This window comes from Homo sapiens, chromosome 16 (assembly GCF_000001405.40).
Source record: "Homo sapiens chromosome 16, GRCh38.p14 Primary Assembly".
Classification (NCBI taxonomy): Eukaryota; Metazoa; Chordata; class Mammalia; order Primates; family Hominidae; genus Homo; species Homo sapiens.
The window spans coordinates 25,865,880-25,892,178 of NC_000016.10; the positions used below are offsets into that span (position 1 = coordinate 25,865,880).

General features: G+C 42.7%; 1 protein-coding gene across 1 annotated transcript in view, besides 2 other annotated features; it reads left to right on the forward strand.

Moving 5' to 3' along the window:
* Nucleotides 1–26,299, forward strand: part of HS3ST4 (heparan sulfate-glucosamine 3-sulfotransferase 4) — a 445,727-nt gene that overhangs the window by 173,921 nt on the left and 245,507 nt on the right. The window lies entirely within an intron of this gene.
* Nucleotides 19,023–19,597: an enhancer, noted in NCBI's record as "NANOG hESC enhancer chr16:25896223-25896797 (GRCh37/hg19 assembly coordinates)". NCBI's record gives its function as "activates a minimal SCP1, AML or CMV promoter by ChIP-STARR-seq in naive H9 embryonic stem cells {active_cell/tissue: H9 hESC(naive)}" and the evidence as "EXISTENCE:reporter gene assay evidence [ECO:0000049][PMID:30033119]".
* Nucleotides 22,768–23,967: an enhancer, noted in NCBI's record as "BRD4-independent group 4 enhancer chr16:25899968-25901167 (GRCh37/hg19 assembly coordinates)". NCBI's record gives its function as "activates an origin of replication core promoter dependent on BRD2, P300/CBP, MED14 and CDK7 cofactors, and independent of BRD4, by STARR-seq in HCT116 cells {active_cell/tissue: HCT116}" and the evidence as "EXISTENCE:reporter gene assay evidence [ECO:0000049][PMID:35650434]".

The window sequence follows — 26,299 nt, forward strand, 5'->3', positions numbered from 1 at the left end:
ACAGAAGAAAAGTTTCTCAACATTTCTATGGGCAAATTTTTTTAAAAATATAACCCCAAAAGCATAAGCAACAAAACCAAAAATAGACAAATGAAATTGCATCCAACTAAAAGTCTTCTGCACAGCCAAGAAAATAGTCAACAGTGAGGAAACAACCTTTGGAATGAGAGAAGCTATTTGCAAACTATCCATTTGTAATCTATCCATTTGCAAAATATTCAAACTGTATAAAACTCAATTCCTTAACTACCTCTTATAGGTTCTGTCTACAAATACAGTCACACTCTGCAGTGGGGGCTTCAATATGTGAATTCCAGGGGTCTACAATTCAGCCTATAATAGAGACTAATGACCCAGACTTCATATGTGTCATGTGTTAGTGTGAGTTCACTTGTACTTCTAAGTAATGTACAGATCTGATTGAAGGATTAGAGACAGATCTTTTGCTTAGAGAGTTTATTCTTCTCTATTAAAAACAGCATTTATTGCAGCACTATTCACAATAGGAAAGACTTGGAACCAACCCAAAAGCCCATCAATGATAGACTGGATAAAGAAAATGTGGTACATATACACTATGGAATACTATGCAGCCATAAAAAAGGATGAGTTCATGTCCTTTGCAGGGACATGGATGAAGCTGGAAGCCATCATTCTCAGCAAACTAACACAGGAACAGAAAACCAAACACAGCATGTTCTCACTCATAAGTGGGAGTTGAACAATGAGAACACATGGACACAAGGAGGGGAATATCACACACACGGTCTGTCATGGAGGTTGGGGGCAACAGGAGAGAGAGCATTAAGAAAAACACCTAATGCATGAGGGGCTTAAAACCTAGATGACGGGTTGATAGGTGCAGCAAACCACCATGGCACATGTATACCTAGGAAACAAGCCTGCACATTCTGCACATGCATCCCAGAACTTAAAGTAAAATAAATTAAAAAACAGAAACATTTGCCTATTTTTTAAAAAGACAGCACTTATTACTGAGGAATCAGTAAGGTTTATTCTTCCATGTACTGGGAACTTGCAGCGGAATGGTTACAGTCAGAATCTCTATTTCACGGGCCTCTCCAAGTCTTATATTCACTACTTTGTGAGTAGTTAGGGAATCCTGGAAGACCCACCCAATTCACATAAAGGAAGGGTGGGCCTGAATCTTATCAGACCATAGAAATAATATCCAACTTAGGCCATCTTTTACTTTGATAGAATTAAAACAACTTCAAAATAAAATCTATGCTTAAAATCCTATCGTCTATTGAGTTTAAAGACCTGTCAGAGCCTAAACCTTATGTCCACCCCAGATCCAGGGCTGGTTTACAGAGAGCAATAGCACTCTCTTTAGGAAATTCCCCAAAGGCTTAAGGAGAATTCAGAAAGGATGATCTCTGGAGAGGGACTGGCAGGAGGAGGGTGATGAGGAAGTTAAAACCCCGCTGATAGGAGCAGCAAATGTAGCCATTTCTCCTGTGTTGTTGAGCTGGAAGGGGAGAAATTAGGTCAACTCTTAGATTTGAAACTCTCCCTAAGAGGAGGGACTGCTGTCCCTAGAGTGGTCCATGTGCGGCTTTAGAATCCCGTGCTAGTAAGACTGATTTCCTTTACCAAATTCCTGCTGCAATGCCATCCATCTGTTTTAAAGTTGTATATCCTTTATCTTAGCCTTCAATAAACAGTCACACACACGCACGCACACACACATGCACACACACACACAATTGCTCAATACATACAAGGCTAGTGAGGTATTTTCTGTGTAGGTTTTAATTCTTGGGACTCGGCTAGTATCTCTTAATAGCTTCAGGGCTTGGCACATATTGGGTGCTCAAAAAATGATGCAGGTTGAAGGAATATTGACATCATTTATAGTCAAGAGTTACTAAATTAATGGGATTCTAGCTAAGAATATTGGGAGTGAAGCTGAAAGCACTGAGTGGATCTCATGTAGGTTAGTCTTCATCGGGCCTCAGTTTACCCAGTTGTGAAATATACACACACACAGATACACAGGTAGATAAAGAGATCGATAGATACTAGGTAGGAAGATAGACAGATAGAGACAGGCAGACAGGCAGGTGGTAGGTATTATGTAAGTATGGGTAGGTAGACTAGATATGTATGTTTCTCCTTCAGAGTGTTCTTTTAAGGCAGTAAGAAAATAAGGCAATAAAGGCCCTAGGATAATGCACGTCAGACGCACATGTGTTTGCTCAATCTGAATCTGCCCGCCTTGCTTGTCTTGTTTCTTCTGCTGCATCTCCTTCTTCTGCCTGCCTCCCACCTGAAGGAAGTGAGGTGCTGCCAGGATGGGAACAGCCAGGACCCAGCCACTTTCTCTGGAATCCTGTGAAGGGAATGAACAGACTTAGAACTTTGGCGGCTGCAGCGACTTCTATGCCAAAAAGCTGCTTTTTAAAAAAAAGCATTGAAGATTCATTGTAAGATACTAAATCCGGATGCAACAGCAGGCATCACAACCTGCTTCTCTCTCTTCCCCCTTCCCCCTTCCCTCTGTAGGAGTCCCCGGTCCTGACAACAGATGTCCCTTCCATCAGCCTGCAGCAGACGCCCAGTAGCACCTTGACACAGAGCAACAGCCTGCTAGATTTCAGGGTCATCTTAAAAGAAAAAGAAATGCAACCACTGTTTAAATTGGAGAAGAAAATATTGTGTAAACAGAGACCATTTGGTGAGACCTCCCTTTGCAAAGGTTCACCATGCAAGCAAACAGAAGAGAAACCTTGTGTTCCCTCCAGCAGCTAAACTCCTTGTGAGTAATTTTTTAAGGAGCAAATGTAATTCGGACTGTCAACTAACCTAAAAACTGGTTAGGAATCAAGAGAAACAGATTGCCCTCGTTAACCTGTAGTCATTGCTGAATCCCTGCTGCGTTCCTCACAGGGAAAGTGGGGCTGAAATGGTTAATAAACACGGCATCTTCTCTGTAAGAGAAAACCAGATTAAAAGATTTCTAGGTAGGGAGGTTCCCTGGTAGGATGATGCTTCTAGGGTTTCTTTGTCTGTGTCACAGCCATTAAAAATCCCTGTAGCATTTAAGTGCTTGTGTATATGTGTGTCTGTGTGCATGTGTGTGTACCGTGTGTGTGCCTATGCATTTACCTTTTCTGCCCTACCTTTGGAATCTTGATTTTGTTAAATGGTATTTAATGTAAGAATGATAGCAGTAATTACCAAAGGATCCTGGGGTACCAGGAAGGAGCTCAATGAGAAATGGTTTCAGAGGCAGCCATCTGCTACTCGGGAGTGGGAGGGGTTGGCATCCAAGTCATAGCCTCAGGGACCAGGCTGGCGATTTGCTCTCCGTGGAGAAACAGCATTGGTGGTGTGGGTTCACAGCTTCCCCTAGAGGAAGAGAGAGTCTGGAAAGTCTGTTAAATAATATCACTTTCTCCGCAAGCAAAGGACAGGTTGTGACGACTTTCCCCATGTAGGGAGTGGGAATGGTCAAAGAGGGTTCAGGGGCTTAGGAAGCAGACTGGTGCTGAAGGAAGACCCCTCAGGTTCAGATCCAAGTTTTGCCACATGTAAACATTGTAGCTTTGGGCATGTTATTTGACCTCTTTTTGATTTTTTTTCGAATGCAAACTAGGTGAATACTGTGTACAAGTCTCACAAGTAGTGCAGGGAGGGATCAGGAGTTCAGTTGCTTACCCCAGTCTAGTTGTGGGAGCTTGGACAGACATCAAATGTCTGCAAAACCCACCATTCAGCCACAGAGGGAGAGGCAGCACTGCTGACATTTATTGAGTCATCATCTGTTCCAAGCCTAGTATCAATTCATATGATCCTCCCAGAAACTCTATCAGTAGGTGGTGATATTAACCAGATGGGAAAAGTAAGACACAGAATAACTTATCCCTGGGAGTAGTTGGCATTTATTAAATTATGGACTCTGTGCTAGGGCATTTACATGTGTTGTTTAGGTCTTAGAACACCTCTGTTGCTATCCTACTATAACCATATTGTTATCTTAGTTTTAGAGATGAAGAAAATAAGGCTCAGAGAGGTTAAGTAACTTGGCCAAGATGCACAGGACCAGGGATCAGATCTGAAGCTTCAGGTCATCCTGGAGTGTTCATCTCTATCTCTGAGATATTCACAGGTTGAAGTCATAGGACACCGAACCTTCTGTTGTCTCACTCAGCGCCATCATTCATCCACTTATGCATCCATTCCTCCATCCATCTGTCCATCTATCCACCCTTCATTCATCCACCCATTCATCTACTCATCCATCCATCTATCCATCATTTGCCCATCCATCCATCCACCCATCCATCCATCCATCCAACCATCCATCCATCCATCCATCTATCCCCTATCTATCCATCCATATATCCCCTTTCTAGGTGCTGTGGATACAACAGTGAATAAAACAAATAAAATTACCTGCTGTCTTGGAACTTATAGTTAAGGATGGATGGACAATACCTAAGATAAAATAAGTAAAATGTCAACTATGTTACACAGTCAGGAGTGTTAGGGAGTAAAAAAAAAGCTCCCTCACTAAGAAGTGACATCTGCATAAAGATTTAAGAGGCCAGGGAGTGAATCAAATAGTTGTCCTTAGGAAAAACTGTATAGACAGAAGGAACAGCAAATGGGAAGTCCCTGAGATGGAAGCTTCAGAAGAGAAAAGTAGCTAATGTAGACATAGTGAAATGAGCAAGTGGCAGGGTGTCAGGTGGGAGCATGTCTTTTGGACCATTGTGAGACTTTTTAGTCCGAGATGGAAAGGTATTCGAAGACATTAAGTAGAGATGTTACATCATCTGACTTGGTTTTAATAGGATCGCTTAGTTTTAACCAAGCAAATTGAAGAGAAACTGGTACAGAAACAGGGATACCAGTAGGAAACTCTTGCAATAGTTCAGGCAAGAGAGGATGATGGCCCAAGGACCAAGATGGTAGTGGTGTAGGTGGGAAGGAGTGCTGAGATTCCAGATGTATTTTAAGGTAGAGGAAAACAGGATGTACGGCACATGAGAGAGATGATGCCTGTTCCAATCTATCCTGATCCACAAAGAAAGGAGACAAATGCTCTAGATCTTGGACTCTAGTTGTTTAATAGGATATTCCCTGGAGTAGCAATAAGCAGAGGAAATCAAATCACATGGGTAGAATACATTGGGTAGAATACATTGCCCAAGAGTATGTTAGTTTGGATCTTCCAAGATGCAGAAGCAGATGACAATACAGGATGAGACATACAAGAGTTTTTGGAGGAAAGCCTGTGAAGGAAAAAGGCAGCGGGGTGATGGAGGTGGCAGGGACAGTCTTCAAGTTGCAACACAGGTCTGACACCTGCAAGAGAGAGGGCAAAGGAAGGCAGGTTTTGTAGGAAGGGTTGCAGACACAATTCTAAAAAAGGTTTTGCCAGGCCAGTGGAGAGTCCTTAAGCCAGAGCTGCCCATCATTATTCTTCTAGGTGCAGCAGATCTGAGAGGCATATTTTTGTGGTTGCCACAGAGAAGGTGCACAAGGTCTAAATCAGAGAAGGCAAATCAACATTGGTGTGGAAAAATTACAGCCACATGTCAGGAGTTTGATAGATTCAGGAGAGAGGTTGGATGACAGGAGCAAGGAAGGATAATAAAAAATAATAACATATATAGTGCTTATGATGGTGAACCCGGTACTTGTACGTATGTGTATTACCTTATTTAATCCTTACAATAACCTTATAAAGTAGCAACTATTATTTGTCACATTTTTCAAAAAAAGAAAACTGAAGTACAGAGAGATTAATTAACACAAATAATAACTCCTGGATTCAGACTCAGGCAGTGGACCTCCAGAACCTGTCCCCTCACACATTATGTTAACAGCTCAGGTAGCTATCTTTCTATCTTACTGGGTACTCTCAAGCAGTGCATGGGTGGATTTTTTGGGTAAAGGTCCTGGATCAGGCTAGACAATTGTCAGAATGCCATTTTCTACTGAAAACTCTTCACCGGCAACATGAAGACAAGATGATTTTTCACTCTACTGTATGGGAACAAGAATATGAGGCTGTAGTCCCTATCTTTGAGGGGCTCAAAGTGTAATGGTGATGGAGGGTAGTGGCTGGGTATAGGTCCAGTTTGCCCTAACCTAATTCCAGCTCCTGATACAACCACTTAGCCATGTAGGGGGAGGACCCCTATCTTACCTTCCACTTTGTTTGCGGGACTTTCCCATATTGGTGCTAAATCAATGTCTGCTGAATAAATTATTTAAAAAGTGACTGAATAAATAGGTGCATGCAAGCTGTCTCTCAAATCCCAGAGCGTGGTCAGCTTATGTGCTTATACTGATGAGAAGTGGTTTTGCTGAAATTATCCCTCCACCTTAAGGGCTACTGACAGAAAGAAATGGCTTTGTCACACCAGTGTGTTCACTTAGTCTGCTGGAGTGGTTGTGGCTACTCGTGATTCTCTGTTTTTTTCAGAGCATAACACACCACCCTGAACTTCGTGGCTTATAATGATAACCATTTTATAATTTTGCATGATTCTGTGCTGGTTGGGTGGTTCTTCTGTTTGTGGGCAGACTCAGCTGATCTCTGCAGTCAGCTGCCAAGGAGCAGGGGCTTCTGTTCTAGGATGGTCCCATTCATGTTTGGCAGTTAGATCAGTGTCACCTGAGGTAGTAAGCAGAGCTCGCCCATGTGTCTCTCAGTGTCTAGCAGGCTTCATTAGCCTGAGTGTTCACAACAGTGGCTGTAAGTTTCCCAAGGCAACAAAAGAGCTAGCCCTAAAATGCAAGCACTTTTCAGCTTCTGCTGGATTCACATTGCTCATGCACCATCGACCAAAGCAAGTCACATAGACAAGGCTAGATTCAAAGAGTAGATGAATAAAATCTACCACTTGATGGGAAGAACTACAAAAGCATATGTTAAAGGATGCATCTATAAGAGTAAGAGACATTGTGGTCATTTCTGCAACATACTACAAGCTTCTCTGTGGGTCTAGCTATTTCAAGGAGTTTTGTTTTGTTTTGTTTTGTTTTGTTTCGTTTTGCCAGAAATATCTCCTGTGGCTGGGCACTCTTTCTCATCTTTCTCATGTAATCTCAGTTGAAGTCTCTGGCTTTGCCCACTTCTGCCCTGATGTTCCTATTTCATCCAGTTCTTAAATATGTTGACATTGGCTCAGAATGCACTGGCTGTGCACCTAGATTTGGCTTTTGTGGAGTTCTAACTGTTCCCATGTAGACCATTGCTTCAGCTTTCTTTCTTTCTTTCTTCCATCTGTCCATCCACCCATCACCCACACACACATTCACCCACCCATCTATCCATCCACCTACTCATTAGGCCATCTGTCCATCCATCCACCTATCCATCCAGCTAGCAAGCCATCCATCCATCCATTTGTCCATTCATCCATCCATCCATCCATCCATCCATCCATCCATCCATCCATCCTTCCTTCCTTCCTTTCATCCATCTATCCATCCATCCACCTAGCAAGCCATCCAGTCATCCATCCATCCATCCATCCATCCATCCATCCATCCACCCATCCATCCATTAATCCATCCATCCATCCACCCATCCATTTACCCACCCATCCATCTATCTCTCTATCTATCTATCTATCTATCTATCTATCTATCTATCTATCTGTCTATCTATCTATCTTTCTCTATCTATCTGTCTATACATCCATCCACCCATTTGTCCATCCATCCATTCATCCATCCATCCATCCACCCATCAATCTACCCACCCATCCATTCATCCATCCATCCATCCGTCCGTCCATCCATCCATCCATCCATCCATCCATCCATCCATCCATCCATCCATCTGTCCATCTATCCATCCATCCAGCTAGCAAGCCATCCAGTCATCCATCTGTTCACCCATTAATCCATCCATTCTTTCATCCATCCATTCATCTACCCACCTATTCTTCCATCCATGCATCCATCCATCTATCCTGCCCTACATCCAGCCTTATACCTGTTTAGTACAATTGTTTCCTCTTTAAGGGTCATGTGGACATCTCTTTAAAAGCCAGGTTTGACAGTGGGGACCAACACGTACAATAGTAGCCAGCCCAAGTGAAGCAATATGGGAACATCAAGGAGGAAAAGTGAATTATACCCTTATCAAACACTCTCATCGCACCTCACGCTTTCCTCTTCCAAACACTCATCTATCCATATGTTTTAATTCCCCTGTCCTCTCTGCTTTACCAGTATTTCTTTGAACACTAAGGGCATATTGTCTAATTTACTGTTGTATCCTTACCCCTAGTACAAAGTCTGCATAAAGAACACATTTTGTAAATATTTGTTGAATTGAGTTGAATTGAAAACTACAGAAAAAAAAAAGATGACATTTGATCTGGGCTCCAAACAATAGCAAATAACATTTAGTCCACAGCAACAGTGTGAGTAGAGTAGCTGGGGTTATTCTCATTTTCTAAGTGAAGAAACAGGTCCAGAGGGGTTAAGTGGTTTGCTCCAAATCACACAGATGGTAAAGGGTTGGAGCCAGGCTTCTAATCCTGGAGCCTGCATGAATTCCACTGACAAATTACCATTGGATGCAGGAAAAAAACAGAGAAAGACTCATGGCCTCTTCTACTGATGACTTTCCCATGACATTTAACAGGCACTTTCCACATATTTGAATCCCACCCATCCATCAATTTTTCCATCCACCAACTTATCCATACATCAACTCATCCAGCTATCCATCTGTTTACCTATCCACTCTTCCATCCATTCATTCATCCATCCGTCTATCCTTCCATCCAGAAAATGTTTAATGAGCCTCTGACTTCTGTTTATTCATAGATTGTTCCAAGTAGCTAGAAATGTGGCTGGCATATAGTAGATACTCAATTAATATTTGTCCCAGACAGTTGGAAAGTAGCATAAGTACAGTGATACCGAGAGCATGGACTCTGGAGCCATGTAGTTTTGGATTCAAATCCTGGCTCCACCATATACTAGCTGTGTGGCCTTGTTCAAGTTAGTTAGCCTGTGCTTCAATTTACTTATCTGTACATGGGATTAATAATAGTGCCTACCTCTTGGGATTATTAAAAGAATTAAACACAATTGCACACACATACCTACACACACATGTTTAGAATATTGCCTTGCCCGTTGTAGTTCCTTTGTAGTGTTACTGGTTTATTATCACTGAATAAATGGGATACAATGTTGATCCCTAAAGACAAGGTCACTGCTCTCACAGAGGCTATATTTTAGAGTATTAGACAGATAATTAACAGCTGAACAACCAGATAACCAAGACAAGTCCAGATAAGCAAACTTTTCTATCGTTTCAGCTTTATCTGAAATTGTTCCCTTGTTCCTGTTACTTGTATACCTGGATGTGAGCCCGGTGGTACTAGGAGCCCTGCTACTCTTTTACTTGGTCCCATTTGAGGAGGGAAGGAGCAGTGCTTTTTCTGTGTGGCACTGGTCATTCGCGGCACTGATGAGAATGCCAAACAGTCTATTCATGTCCATGTGCTCATGTGGCTGGTCCAGGCTGCAAGTCTGTGCTGACTCTGTAGACCTCATTTCCTTCCAAGACACAGACAGATGCACCTACATTCCCTGTGTGAAATGCGTAGAATGAATTTCTAGCAATCCCTGGTCCATCACATTCCCTGTGTGAAATGAGTAGAATCAATTTCTAGCAATCCCTGGTCCATCTTGCCCCTTGATATCTGTCACACCTGTTAAGTCCAATATGAGGTTCAGGGTCCTAGGCACGTTAAGCTGTGCCTTCAAATTTCAATTCTGTTTCCCACCCTTAGGAAAGATCTGGAGTCCAGAAGTGGGAATTTCCAGTAGCCCTAAGTGTAATTCAATTGCAAATACCTGAGGCTGGGAGACTTGGCCATGGGTCATACAGTCTGTGAAGATTATTGCCAGGTGTGTGATCCAGAAACCCAAGGACCATGGGCTCCTCCAGCTGAGGGCAATAATTCTTGCCCCTGATTCCCTGCTTCCCACCAGATTGATGGATACAGATAAAATGCCCAACAATAGGTATATTAGGATCTGAGGCCATAACTCAGGCAAGGCTGCTTCTCTTGGGCTAATGTTCCCTTTTTCTTACAAAGATTTCTGGAACATAGACTCAGAAAACCAAGGAATTTCAGAATTGGAAGGAACATAACCTCCACGATGATGCCCAAACCCAATTTGACCTAAAGTTCCTTCCAGTGAGACCTCCACCAGTCTCTTCATTCATTTCCCACTCATCAACTGCACTCAATTCTTGAGCATTCCCAGAATACAACCTGATCTTTTTGTCTCTGTGACTTCTGACATGCCAGTTTTGCAATCTGGACTGCTATTTCAATTAAGAATCATTTTGTGGTAGGTGCCAGGAAATCCAATTTCACACTGGCTTAAGCAAAATAAAATATAACTATTGACTCACATAATGAAGGTCCATGGGTAGGTATGGCCTCAGGTATGGCTGGATTCAGGGCATAAATAATGCCAACAGGATCCAGCCTTTGGCATGCTTCTTATGAGTGGCACCATTCCCAGGATCTGCTGTTGTTCTTGGCTGTTTCAAGTTTCTCTTATTAGGATTGCAAGATGGTTCTAGCAGCTGCAAGCCTCACATTCTTACAGCACTGAATTCAGTGGAATTCATACTCCTCTTTCATAAAACCCAAGCAACTGTCCCCTCATCTCTTATTGGTTCTAATTAGTCAAGAAAATGGAATATGTGGACTGACCGAAACCCTCTGGAGCTGGGGGTAGGGTCATCCCACTCAATCAACAGTGCTGGGAATGGAGGGGTGGTCTCGTAAAGGAAATTTTTTACTTTTGTTAGAAAGAGGAAGGATGAACCCTGGGCTGGAGACTACATATTTTTGCCATGCTTTTTCTGCCTGGAGAACTCTACTCATTATTGACGCTTCAGTTGTTCTCTCCTATCTCCTCTCCAAGCTGAGCTAATTCATTTAACCTCTGTGCTTCCATAGCTCTTCAGATTGAACTTCCTTGTATCATGTTTTGGTTGTTCCTTTACAGGTTTTTCTCCCCTACTAGGCTTTGAGACTCACCAGAAGAAAAACTGTGTCTTACTCATATCAGAAAACCCTAGCTACATGACTTTGTGCTAGGTATACAGTAAGTGTCAGTAAATGTTTATCGAATGAAAGGATGTCATCCTAGATGGGTCTTTAATTTTATTTCCTGCATCTTTCTTTGCTATTAAATTTTAAAATCCCTGCCTGACCATTCCTAGGGTAAGTTCATGCCCTAAATCCTAACATGGCTCCTCCTACTCAGTGATTGTACTGGGTTGAAATGTGTCCCCCAGCCTGAAATTCATGTCTACCCAGAATCTGTGAATGTGAACTTATTTGGAAGTAAGGTCTTTTCAGATACAATAAAATTAAGATGATGTCATAATGAGTTAGATTTGCCCCTAAGTCCAATGACTGGTGTACTTATGAGGAAAGGGATTATTTGGGGACACAGGGACAGACACATAGCAAAGATTTTAGAAAGAGGAATCATGTCACCCCAAGTCTTCTCTCTCTGTTAATCACTCCCAGTTTCTTCAACCACCAGAGGTGTCATTCAAAATCTCCATTACCTCTCTGGTTATATTTGTTTCATGATGCTCCAGAGTGCTAATATGACAACAGAGACAGAGATTGGCACGATGTACCTGCAAACCAAGGAATGCTGGCAGCCACCAGAAGCTAGAAATGGCAAGGGAGGATTCTTACCTAGAACCTTTGGAGGAAGCATAGCCCCTGCTGACACTTTGATTTCAGACTTCTAGCCCCCAGAGCTATGAGATAAGAAATGTCTATTGTTTTAAGCCACCCAGTTTGTGGTTTTTTGCTGCAGCAGCTCTAGGAAACAGATACCATGATGATTCTTACTACAGAGAGTTCTTCCTTGTATAACACTGTAGCTTGTCTTTGTTCACTGATTTCATCATTTCTTCAGCAGATATTTGCTAGACATTTACTGTGCGCTAAGCACTGGAGATGTGGTAATGATCAAAACAGTGTCCTATTATCTCAGGAGCTTCCAGTCTGGGTCAAAAGCAGTCAGGTAAACAGGCATTTCTTTGATTTGCCTTATGTAGGATGTGTCTCTGTGGAAGGAATCTGTCTTCCATAGAGCTTATAGGTTGTGGTTAAAGTGCTGAATCTGGAGTCAGACAGACCTAAACTCATGTCCTAGATCCACCATTCACCACCTAAATGAACTTTGGCAAATTGTCTTTTAACCTCACCAATTTCAGTTTCTTCATTTTAATTATGGATAACAATGGCATTGTGATGAGGACCAAATGAGATGATGTATGCTACCTTTTCAGCCTATTGCCTGGTTCAAAGAAGTTACTGTTTTTTATAGCTTCTTAAGATTTTGGCAAGAGCGATCTTCCAGGTCTTCCAGTGACCCCCAGTCTTCTATGTTAATCATTCCCAGATTCTTTAACCACCAGGGGTGTAATTCTAAATTCCCATCACTTCTCTCATTACGTTTGTTTAATGATGCTCAGAAGTGCTAGTATCTATCAGAATGGTACCCAAACTTACAATGAAAAGCAAAGCAGAACAGAAATCTCACCTCCATTGCTCTAGAATTCTACTTCAACTAACACAACCAAAAATGGTCCAGCTGTCTTTGAAAGCCACGTCACGCTATGGACTAGTATTGAGCTTGTAGGGAATGAAAACAAGCCAGGTGCATTTGCACCTGCTTCCCCATTAAGGACTTGTCCAGATGGTTGTTGGGACCCAAGGGCAGGACCTTGTGTTTATCTCTGTTAAATTTCATGTTATGTAATTCAGCCTTCCACACCAGCTGCTGGAGGTCTTCTGGGATACTGATTCCATTATGTAGCATATTGCCTACAAGATAAAGTCCCAACTTTGTATTGCACACAGATTTTTATCAACCTTTATTCAAACCTTCGATAAAAATACCAGATATCGGGCCAAGGGCTGAGATTTCCCTCTCTTTTGGTTAAAGTGGTAAACAGTATCTTATGGTTCCTGGTAGTGGGCTCTCAGAAGGGCTAAAGGAAGCTCTGTGCTCTGTCTGCTTCAGGAAAAAACAGTTTCCTATGCCTCTTTCTCATAGCTGGTACTCAGAAAAACTCCAGGCAGCTGGAAGAAATTAGGGTGTCACTGACTGAAGCATCTGAGCCAAATTCCCTAGGGTTAACTCTAACACACTGCACATAGCAGACCTTTAGAGGTCCATTTAATTCTGAATGATTCCAGTACTTCTTATAAATCTGATATACGTTTGGATGAGCAATGAACCCACAATTTAGGAGGCTTTTGGAAAATAATATTCATAGCTATAATTGCTCACCTTTACTGAGCAATTGCTTTGGGTAGAAAGAATGCACTGTCTCACTTAATCCTTTCAACAAAAATTTTGATGTTGGCCACTGTATTAGTCCGTTTTCATGTTGGTGATACAGACGTACTCAAGACTGGGCAATTTACAAAAGAAAGGGGTTTATTGGACTTAAAGTTCCACGTGGCAGGGGAGGTCACACATCATGGCAGAAGGTGAAAGGCACGTCTCGCATGGCAGCAGACAAGAGAAGAGAGCTTGTGCAGGGAAATTCCCGTTTTTAAAACCATCAGATCTCCTGAGACTTATTCACTGTCAGGAGAACAGCATGGGAAAGACCCACCCCCATGATTCAGTCATCTCACACTGGGTCGCTCCCACAACATGTGGGAATTATGGGAGCTACAAGATTAGATTTGGGTGAGGACACAGAGACTAACCATATCAGGCACTATTAGCTAGATGAGGAAACTGAACCTAAGGAAGAATAAGTCTAAGGGTGATGTATTAGTCTCTTCTCAAGTTGCTAATAAACACATACCCAAGACTGGGTAATTTATAAAAGAAAGAGGTTTAATGGATTCACAGTTCCACATGGCTGGGGAGGCCTCACAATCATGGCGGAAGGCAAAGGAGAAGCAAAGGCACATCTTACATCACAGCAGGCAAGAGAGCTTGTGCAGCGAAACTCCCATTTATAAAGCGATCAGATCTTGTGAGACTTATTCACTACCACGAGAACAGTATGGGGGAACTGCCCCCCATGATTCAATTATCTCCACCTGGCCCCACCCTTGACATGTGGGGATTATTACAATTCACGGTGAGATTTGGATGGGGACGCAGCCAAACCAGATTAAGTGGGTAGCTAATAATTGGTAGTACAATTATTCAAACCCAGACCTCTTTTTCCTGAGACTTAAGGTTATAACAGTTTCTCTCTTAGTATCAAGCAACTTTTCTTTATATTAGTCAGTAGGTTGTTCGTGTCATTAATGAATTCATGAGATATGTTGGATTAATGGCTGTTTCATCCCTGAGATTCTAAGTTCCATTTGGCCAGGGACCTTGTCATTTAGTGTCCCTCCCAGAGTCTAGCACAGTGCCTGACACGTGGTTAACACTCAGTGAATATTTGTTGAATGAACTCAGAGTGGCAGATGCAAATGTGCTTTCAACCACTTCTATGAAGTGTAAGGTGAACTTGATTTAGGGTTGTTTTATTTTGACACGCAACCATCTCTTTACAGTAGTTCTTGGAGTCCCAAATGGGAGTAAATACTTTCCTCCCAGCACACTGAGAATTAATTAAGGTTTGTGACATCTTTTAAAATCCCTTACAATGTATAGCCGCTTTCATCTGGCCAAGTGTAAGGCAGCATTATAGGGCCATTATTGGGCCTGGCACTAATGGGCATTTGTCACCTCCCCCTCCCCACTGCAACAGTGCATTAGACCTGTGCATACCCCAGTAATTGCTAAATAACTCATGGAGTGCTTGGGTTGCTAAATTAAGAAATGAAATAATAGAGGGAAAATAGTAACAGGCATGTGGAATGAATAGAGACATCCTAATACAGAGGATTTGCTTGCTTGTATGTCTTTTAAATAAAGAGTATGACTCCAGTTAAGATTGCAAGAATGGATTTTTATAGACTTTGGGGTAGTTCAGTGGTTTTGTGGGAGGATGTATTTGACAGGTGGTCTCCTCTAGTTCTGCCTGATATTCTATGAGATGAGAAAAGTTAGTTTTCTTATACTGATTTGAGTATGGATGGCTCACCCATCAAGGAGACAAATGAGAAGAGCCAGCTGGCTCCATGAGCAGGAGTAAAACAATGGTGATAATGCCTTTTCAACAATCATTGAAGAACAGGCTGGAAATTTAGGGAAGGGATGTCCTAGTGGAAAAAATAAATAAACAAGAATGGTAGGAGACAAGAATGAGAACCCTTCGTAGGCAAATTCATCTAAACCATTTCATTTAATGACCAAGACATTCAACTTCATTTTGAGTATTTTCATAGCTTCCTTTTGGTTTTTGGTCTGTCGATATAAATTAAAACAAATTTTGAAGAAAATAATTTAACCAAAACTCAACTCTTTAGAATTTCATAGTTAAAAAAAAGTTCTATGTCTAAGGACATAGAACATTCCTAAACTGCACTTGGGATTTGTTCAGTGTTTATTAGACATGTAAAATTAAGATGAAACTGTCCTTAGACAAATTAGTTTAAAATAAAATCCTTCGATACCAGACAATGGCAGTAAAGGGCACCTGGATGCTTGGATAGACATTCAAAAGGGGTTGAGAGGCAAACTCCAGGTGAAGTGGTTATTTGGGTGAAATGGGATGACAGCTGCTTCTTGGTGTTTGGCATGCAGACAGAGGGCTCCTGCAGTCTCTTATCATCGTGGGGCTCTTATCAGAAGGATTTGTTGTGGGCGATGAAAGCACCATCCTTCACTGTGGTAGATGGTCACTTGGCTTCCTAGATGGTCATTCTCTGTTGGTGTAGGACTGGCCAGAATGGAGGGGACAGGAATCAGAGAATGGTGAGCCTCAGGGGATGGGCTGTTAGCCAGCTCGGTGACCCACAGGGGTTTCTCACACTGAGTGCAAGTCACATTGACTATGAAATTGATTTTATTAAAAATAAAAAAAGCTTCAGATTCATAATCTGGATTCTAATCATTCTTTTTCAGGGACAGTATTGATGGAAAGTCTTTTCTGAATGAAGACAGTCAGTTCACCTTTCCTTCTTATAGTTTTGCTTTTGGCAGCTTCAGGTGGCTTTGCTTTCAGAGATTCAAAGGCTAAGCCTCTTTGGGGAAACTGAGGCAGTTACCCTCCGTCCCTCTCTCTTGTTGGTTTAAATGTGAACAGGGTCATTGTAAATTCAGGTAAGCTAGTGATGAGTGCCTTCTCTTTCATGTGCTACAGAGTCCAGAGGGCAACCCAGGATGAACACATTCCCTGAAGTGAATACACCTTTGAGAAGCCTCCTCCAGCCCTTCTTGGTCAAGGTAGTTGTTAGAGCTGCTGTAAAAGATTTCTGGAGTATGGAGTCCAGAAAGTGAAAGGGAAGAGCTTTGGAGACTTTGGGACATAGTCCCTCCAGTCTAGCACCACCTTGCAGAAGTTTATGTTCCTGAAATTTCCTTTCGGTTCCAGGAGAGGAAATGAGTTGGAAGGCAGGGGAGCAGAGGGCTATGTCAGCTTCATGGCAGGCAGTTTCAGGCACTTTTTCTCTGGGCCATTAGTTTGCCGATGGTGGATTGTCTTTCCAGCAAATGTCTTTTGATTGCAACTGTATAATGAAGGCATGTTTTAGTGTCCTTCCAGCTCTAGGGAGAAGTCAAACTGGTTCCTTTTAGTTCTACTGAAACTATCATCACTGAGGCTTATTCACCTAGATTTTTCGAGCCACTGTTCCATCTTGAGGGCTTATGACTACTCTGAAAGATAGTAAAGGGGGCTTTTCCGCATGGGCAATTCAGATGGCATGAAGCAAAGTCTTGGGGCACAGACAGATTCCTCTTTGTTGAGACATGCTGGTCACTGTCTTCACCAGATGCCCACAAGAATAATTAACATGGTGATGAACCGTGCTCATGTGAATGATGGAAGGCAGGCAAACTCGCTTCTTCCTGCAGATCCAGGGGACCCAGCTTCTTCCTCTCATCTCACCAGCTGTCATTCCTGTTCTACTGCTCTGACCTCTGGGAGGGTGACAGAGAACTCATGGATCTTGCTCACTTTCCTGGTCTCCACTTGAGATGTGAAAAGAAGCTCCCCTTTACCCTCCTCTCTGTATTTTTATTATTATCTCATATTCCACTGGCCTTGGCTAAACCAGGCTCCCTGACCAGAATCTAACTTTCTTGTTTCTTCTCTGCTGCTTCTCTCTGGCCCATACGATTTTTTTTTTTTTTTTTTTTTTCAGACAAAAATCTCATTCTCACAGATCAATGAGCATATTTTTCTACGCCTATTAGTTAGCCTAGGATTTTGTTCTTTTGAAACTCAAAAGACAGGCTCTTGAAACTCAAAAAGCCTTTTGCTCAAGACTGTAGTCCCTGCCTTGAGTTTCAAAGGACTGTTTTGAACCTCAAAGGCCAAGTACTGACTCTTTCTCTCTTTGGATCCCTGCTGAAAAAACAACAAAAAAAATACCCCACACTGAAGACAGTGGGCAGAGAATGCTCTAGCTGTTGACGGGGTAGCAGGAAGTACCTAAAACCAAAATAAATAAATAAACTACATCAGTTTCTGTTTTGTAATAATCCCAAACTCATTCAAACAGGAAAGGGCTCAGAATTCAAATTCAGGTCAGCTTTTGGAGAGGACTAGGTGTTTAGACCATGGGAACCTATGTGTCTTCTGGAATTTGTCCAAGGAAAGCAGTGACATTTCAGGAATGAGTAACCATGGTGTGGAGTGTTTACACAGGAATAAGCTGAGCATTTTATATCCATCATCTAATTTTCACAGCAATCCTATAAAATAAGTGTTATTATACTTGTTACCATTTTGCAGATGGGAAAACTGAGACTTCAACAAGATTAGTCTTATTATTAACTAGTGATGCTATTAAGAATCCAGCCCAGTTCTACAAGGTAGCTCATGCCTGTAATCTCAGCACTTTGGGAGGCCGAGGCAGGTGGATCACTTGGGGTCAGGAGATCGAGACCAGCCTGGCCAACATGGTGAAACCCCGTCTACTAAAAACACAAAAATTAGCCGACTGTGGTGGCAGGTGCCTATAATCCCAGCTACCTGGGAGGCTGAGGCGGGAGAATTGCTTGAAGTGGGGAGACTGAGGTTGCAGTGAGCCAAGATCATGCCACTGCACTTCAGCCTGGGTGACAAGAGCGAGACTCTGTCTCAAAGAAAAAAAAAAAAGAATCCAACCTAGTTCAGAGCCATGTCTCTAAATCACGGAAAAAGAAGTGGAGGGTGCATAGAGAAGGTTCAGTACTCGAGGAAAGTAAATAAAAAGGAGATGAATTGAAGGAGTTCCGTGGCATGGCTATTGTACATGCTGTCACTTTACCAGGGATGCCTTTCCCTCAGATCTTTTAAGGCTGCTTCTTTCATGCATGATTCAAGTCTCAGATCAAAATATTACAGAATTCATCACTGGCCACCTTGGCTGTCCACCCACAGCATGCACACACACATGTGCCCGCAGGCAAAGTTCAACAAATCCTGTTTAATTTTTAAAATAACATCACCTTTTCTGGAGTTATCATTTCATTTACTTATGTTCTTGTGTATTTATTGTCTGTCTCCCCTTTGTAGCATCTTTAGAACATAGGCTTTTGAGGTTAAGTACCTTGTTGGTTTGTTTGTTTTTGAGACAGAGTCTGGCTGTATTTCCCAGGCTGGAGTGCAATGGCGTGATCTCAACTCACAGCAACCTCTGCCTCCCAGGTTCAAGTGATTCTCCTGCCTCAGCCTCCCGAGTAGTGGGGATTACAGGCGTGCACCAACAAGCCTGGCTAATTTTTGTATTTTCAATAGTGATGGGGTTTCGCCATGTTGGTCAGGCTGGTCTCGAACTTCTGACCTCAGTTGATCCACCCGCCTGAGCTACCAAAACTGCTAGGATTGTTAGGATTACAGGCGTCAACCACTGCGCCCGGCCGAGGTTAAGTATTTTGTAGATTCTGACTTTTTGTTTACCCCTTAGTGTCCAGAACAGTGCCTGGTTCATAAAGGTTACTTAAATAGATTTGAATGCATTTGGTTGAGTGAGAAGGGGCAGTCAGGAAGGTTAGGAGGAGAAGAGCCCCATTTCAGAATAAAAATGACGAGCATAACCATTTCAGAATAAAAAATGACAAGCTTAACCACTCACTGCTTTTCAACCTTGATGTCCAAAGCTGCTTAGGAAGGTCTGGCTGGTTTGCTTTGGGGCTGCCTCCTTAAATGAGGATCAGAAAGTACCTTTAATGTTTAGCTTCATTTGTTTATCAAAGGCAGAAAAGCCTTTGTCCTACATCACAGCTGGGATTCAGCAAGATGGGGACTTCCTCTGCCTTGTACTTCAGAATAGCCATGTGTAGCCAAAACAGTGGTTTCTCAACTCTGCAATAATCCAGAAATGTGAAAATTTGGTTTCGAGACCCTCAGAGGAGGGGACCAAGGAGAAAAGTTCATGTTATTACCTGGTTTCTAAAACCCTCTAGGAAGCTGGGAAGATCAGCTTCAGCCAGTTTGTCGAGTTCTGCAACTTTGGGATACCTTATTTGGGGCACTCCCCACCAAACACTGCATATATTGATTAAGTTTCAAAAAAGGAAGGGGTCTTAAGGTATAGCTACTCCAGCCCATTGTTGTGGTCCCACCCCTCAACAACCCTACCTGTCCCCCAACCACAAACTCGATTCATTTGATGGTCACCTTCACAAATTTTTGTCATATCCAAGCACCAGCTGTGATTAATATTAAATATATGTAACATTATATATATTATATAGAGTATCACACATATATGTATATGTGTGTAAACATTTTCTTAGTATCTTTAGTTTGACTCTGCACTTAAATGAAAACTTTACATTATGAATATAAATGGAAAAGAAACAAAAGGTCTACCCTTCTGTAAGTAGAAGGAAATTATAAACATAATACGATGAGAAGAAAAAGTATTATACTTTCTTTTGCCTGTCCAACATGAGAGATTAGGAAAAGTTAGGTGCTAAAGACCAAGAAATAATAGAAATTAGACTTTCTCTTTTTTAAGTAATCAAAAAGAATGAAGAAGAATTGAAATGGGAGTACTTTTCTTACTGTGGTTTTTTTTTTTTTTTTTTTTTTTGAGACAGAGTCTCACTCTTTCACCCAGGCTGGAGTGCAGGGGCATGATCTCGGCACACTGCAGTGTCTGCCTCCTGGGTTCAAGCAATTCTCCTGCCTCAGCCTCCTGAGTAGCTAGGACTACAGGTGCGTGCCACCATGCCTGGCTAATTTTTGTATTTTTAGTAGAGATGGGGTTTCACCATGTTGGCCGGGCTGGTCTTGAACTCCTGACCCCAAGTGATCCGCCTGCCTCGGCCTCCCAAAGTTCTGGGATTAGAGTAGTGAGCCACCATGTCCAGCCCTTACCGTGTATTTTAATATCACCTACTGCAGTGTTTGTGTCCCACGTAAAGTCAACCGGCAGAACACCTAAAGTAATGGTGGTGCTTGTCCTGAATTTGGGGAACCACTTCGTTATCCAAATCTGCATTCCCATTTATAACATCTGGCCAAGTTATCATCAGTCCTGGCTTGATCATCTGCTCAGAGAGAAGGAAGCTCAGTTTCCCGAAGCAACCCACTCCAAGTTCTCTCTCTTTAGGGTGAGAAAGTTCTGCAACACATGAGCTTGGGTGGGGTGAGAAGGAAACAAGTTCTTTAAGAGCTTCTGAGTAGACAAGATATTTCAGGCAGATGGAACAGCATTTACAAAGGCAGAAGGAAAGAGACAGCATGGCCTATTTTAGGGGAACTGCAAGTAGTTCATTCAGCACGGCTGGATCTGCATTAAATGTCGAAAGGAAGGCGGAGAGGGGTGAGACAAGAGGTGGGAGGTGAGGCAGGTGGGAGCCTGACCCTGGAGAACCCCGCAGGTGGTGCTTCTGACTTTCAGTTTCAGCTTTGACACCAGCATGGAGCTGACTGTTTGTCCTTTGCTCTGGTATTTAGAGGTAAATTATTTTTGGGTGGCAATGGCATTTCCTTCTGGAAGAAATCTATTTTTGCTGTGTGAATATATTGATAAGTTTTTGGAGTGGGTGGAAGGGGTGTGAGAGCTTCTAGGATTTTGTTTTGCTTCGTGGGATATACAGACTAAAGGAGAGAGGGATGTGTAAGGAATCATAAAAGGGGATTTGTAGAAGGTTGGGTGACCTGGGGGTGGGGGAGAAAAGGCTGTTCGTGAAAGGAATGTCCACTGAAGGAGTAACAGAAAGCTGATGGGGAATTTGAGGAAGTTTCCGTTCTTTAGGCAGAAGCGGACACTGAGGCAAGGCTATATCATTTATTCAGGAGGGATATAGTTTACTTACACCTTTGAGGAAGTAGGAAGGTGGCACAGGGAAGGGAAAATAGGGGTGCATTAGTAAGACAGCTATCCTGGTGGGTGTCTAAAGCTTTATCCCATGGTTAAAAATACGCCTCACAGTCATCCTCACTAAAGGGCTAGGAAGGCGGAGTATTTTAACCCCCACCCTCTTAGTCAATGGGAAAGGGTTGTCTACAGGGAGATATTAATTTTCAGATATTAATTACCAGATATAAATAAATTCCCACATATTAATTACTGACTTGTGATGGGCACAGCTGGCTTCTGCAACTGGGAGCCGCCTTCCCACAAAGCTGGAGGCTCTGAAGGTTGGAAGTCAGAATGTTGAGCATGGAAATGGTAAGACATCCATATGGCTATGGGTGGAGCATCCCTAGCGCCCGCTACACCTGATTTTTTTTTTTTTTTTTTTTTTTTGAGATGGAGTCTTGCTCCATCACCCAGTCTGGAGTGCAGTGGTGCTATCTCGGCTCACTGCCAGCTCCACCTCCCAGGTTCACGCCATTCTCCTGCCTCAGCCTCCAGAGTAGCTGGGACTACAGGCGCCCACCACCACGCCCAGCTAGTTTTTTGTATTTTTAGTAGAGACGGGGTTTCACCATGTTAGCCAGGATGGTCTCGATCTTCTGACCTCATGATCTGCCTGCCTCGGCCTCCCAAATTGTTGGGATTATAGGCATGAGCCACCGCGCCCGTCCCGCTACACTTGATTTGGGGTGTGTATCCAGTTTCCCATCAATCATGTGACATCTTCCATAATATGCCTGTATGTTGTTCATGCCATGAAAGTTGAATCTGATTGGAAGATGTGACTAATTGCTTAATGTGGACTTCAGTTGGCCTCCGCAGAGCAAGCAGGCCTGCTTCATCTGGGCTATACTGCTACACTGGAACGGTTAGGTCTTTCTTAGTTGCATGACAAAAACCCAGCTAAAATTGCCTTGAAACCAAGAAAAACAAAAGGTATTGGATCTTGGAATGAAAACGTCCGGTTGATGGTCTTCAGGAGAAGTATGATCTAGGAGCTCAAATGATCTAATCGGATTTTGGGTTACCTTTCTCCCTCTCTTTATCTCTGCGTTTCTCTGGCCTGATTTTATTCACTTCTTCTTGTGATAAGATAGTTTTCAGAAGCTTCAGGTTGCATCCTTTCTCCGCAGTCACCCCAGTAGAAAGATGACTCCTTTTAACAAAAAAAATTACAGTGACTTCCAAGACTGAGCAGCATTGGCTCTGTCTGTCCTTCCTTGGGCCACGTGCACAAACCAGAACCTCTCACTGAGGGCAGGGTGCTGCTCTGCTCTGATCTGGCCAGCTGAGCTCACATGCCTGCCTACCCTTGGAGCTAGATTTGGGTTAAATTCCTCCTTATTCTTGCAGACAAAGTAGTAGAAGAGGAGCTAGTCCCTAAGATAAAGTGGGTACTATTGGATAGAAAAATAAGAGAGAGTAGATGTTGGGCAAGGAAATACAAGAGGTATTCACAACAACAACAAAACAACAACAACAACAACAACTCTGAAAAGATGCTCAGATGCTTGGAGGCCTGGAAGCTGAGGCCTATTTCAAGGGCCTATTATGAAATTAGCACATCCATTAAATCAGCTTCCATGGTTCCAAATTCCCAGTCATGGCAACCATCCCCCTTCCTGAGCCAGACCTACCGCTTCCTTTCAGAACTGCTGACACTAATGATGGATGAGGGTGTCAGGGTTTCCAAGACACTGGATTTCCATTGACTGCTATAACCTTGAGCTACAGGCTTTATTGGCAGTATTTAACGCAAATCTGTTTTCCATCCTTGTCAGATCCCACTTCAATATGCGCCACAGGAGGAGAAGTCGAATGTGAAATTGATTTCTTTAATGGGGAGTGCTCCGCAGCAGATAGCAACACTTCCGGAGATGCATTAGCTGGATTACAACTGAATCTTTTCTTGCTCGCTCTGAGGGACTCTCTCCTTTGCCAGAAGGATGTGACTCTGAGCTCATCGTTTGCCTAATTGTTTCTTAGACTGGAGAACAAGAAAGTCGGGGCTCTCCCCTCCGGCCCCTAGGTCAGAAGCAGGGACTTCCCATCGCCAGACTTGCTAGAGAAGATTGAAATTTAGGAATTAGTGTCTTATGATTGCTAAGGGTGATGGTGTCTAAATGTTTCTTAGCAACATTTAGACACAATCAATAAGCAATCAGTGGTTGAAATCATGTGAATGAACACTTAGAAATCTGAGGACTGGTATTCTTGATTCTTAGTGGGATTTTAGGGATTCTTCATGCTGTAAGTTGAGATTTCAGGGTGGTTTTTCTAGAATGTAGTGAGATTCTGCTTATGTCTGTTTAGCAAGGACCCACGCTGTTTTCGTGTATAGCAACATTAGTAATGGTCATTTTTTGGCTTTTATTGTGTGCTACACTCCCTGCATGATATTTTTTGGTTCTCTGCCCCTACCCAAATCTCATCTTGAATTGTAATAATCCCCACATGTCATGGGAGGGGCTCGGTAGGAGGTAATTGAATCATTGGGGTGGGGTTTTCCTGTGCTGTTCTCTGATAGTGAGTAAGTCTCATGAGATCTGAAGGTTTTATCAGGGGAATTCCCCTATACATGCTCTCTCTCTCTCTCTCTTGCCTGCTGCCATGTAAGATGTGCCTTTCGCCTTCCACCATGATTGTGAGGCCTCCCCAGCCATGTGGAACTGTGAGTCCATTCAACCTCTTTCTTTTATAAATTACCCAGTCTTGGGTGTGTCTTCGTTAGCAGCATGAGAACAGATACACTGTTTTAATACACTGCATTATCTCACTTAGACCTCACCACAACCCCATGAGATGAATCCTATTATTATATTATTATTCCCTCTATACTGAGGAAGGCATGGGGATTCATGGAGGTTACACAATTTGCCCCAAGTCACACAAATAATATGGTAAGTAGCAGAGCCTGTATTTATACCTTTGTCCGACTCTAAATGTTGTCCTCTTAGCCACCACTATGTATTTCCTTCCATAGGGAGGCATCACACACCCATCAAGGATGGATTTGTTATCATCTCCTAGGGTAAGGACCCAGATGACTTTACCTTGTTAGGTCTTGGAATGTGACATAGAGACAGAATAAAAATTGGAGGGTTCTGGCCAGTGCATGTCATCTTAGCCACACCTACTACATTAGCTCATGGAGAAGGACCATCTTTATTTCCTAGAGGTATTGATGACATGAATGTGTTTGCAAGGAAGGGAAATTTAGACCAGGGCTCTTGTCTTGCTGGGACATCAGGTACACTTTTTGGCTGGAGAGAAACCTAATGGCTTTTCCATCATGGAATCTATGATCTATCTTATCTTCAGTCTTCCCAGATCTGACCTCTCTGGGGAAATTGAGCCAGCTTAACCTAACTGCATGACCAAACATGGTTTATTCTTTTTGAATCTCAGGATATTCATTTGCATAATAGGGTCAATATTGTTAAATATGTAGAATAACGTGTTAAGGTTAGATGGAGTAATGTACAGTAAGGATTCAAGAGATGTCAGTTACTACTATTTTGTTTTATTTTGCTTGGTTTCCATTTTTGCATCTCTCAAATGAAGAAGGCGGATCAGCTCCATTTCTGAGCCATGATTGGGTCATTTGAAAATGGATGGGGCTGGCTGGGAAGGGAATGAGACAGGTAACTGAGATCTATGGGCAAGCTCTGAGGGGTCAGAAACAGCTTCAAGAAGGGAAGCAAGTTCAGTCTAGCTGGTAGCACTTGGTGATGTGAGGATCTGCCTACAGATAAGAAGTGGTAATTGAGGTTGGCTGTGGGCACTCAGAAAGCCCAATAAGAAGTGATGGGGTAACGTTTCAGGCTTGCAGACTACAGTGAGCCTGTCACCGGGTATTAGGAACTGAACCAGATACTGTTCAGAGGCTGAGTTCTATAGACTGGGTATATATAAGGTTGCGGATAGGAGATGATATTCCAGTTACTCTTGCTGTGTAACAAACCAGTACGAAACCTAGTGGCTTGAAATGACTATTTTTTTAGGCTTACATATTCTGTGGGTCAGGCATTTAGGAGGGCGTCTCTGCTTCCTGGTGGCTGGGACTTCAGCTGGGCAAACTTAAAGGCTAGGGGTAACTCAATGATGGGAAGCAGGAACCCTTGGAGAGATCTTTACTTACATGTTTTGTGGTGTTGCTGGCTTTTCTCTGGGACCTCAGCTGCCAGGTAGAACACTTACATGTGGTATCACCATTTGGTCTCTGTGTCGAGACTGAGTGTCCCATGAGAACAACACAGAAATGGATGGCATTTCTATTATTGAATCTCAAAGCCACATAGCATCACGTACTCTAGGTTCAAGGGGAGGAAACGTAAGCCCCAGCCCTCAAATGAAAGGGATGTTAAAATGATGTTGTAAGAAAGCTGTGGGATGGGAGATTTGTTGCCTCCATCTTTGGGGACTCTAGTCTGCCACAAGTGGTGCAGTCTTATGAAATTATTATGATAGTGTTATTGTTAGTAGCACAGGCTATAGAGTCAGACTGCCTGGCTTCACATTGCGACTTCACCACTTACTAGCTGAGTGATGTTGGGTGAGTCATTTAAACTCTGTGCCTTTGCTTCTTCATCTATGAAATGGGACTACTAGTTGTACCTATCTTATTGGATTATTATGAAGATTACATGAACTCATAGCAGGTACTCAGAACAGAGCCTGGCACACTGTAAATCCCAACTCAAGGCAAGGGTTTACTATTATTATCATCATCACTAAGTAGGTTCTCAAGACAGAGACTCAGGCTAAGGGAACAAGCAAGGAATTTAGTGGCCAAAATGAAGGAACAAAGTTCAGGCCAACCTGTTAGAAAATCTGACCTCAAAAGAATGTGA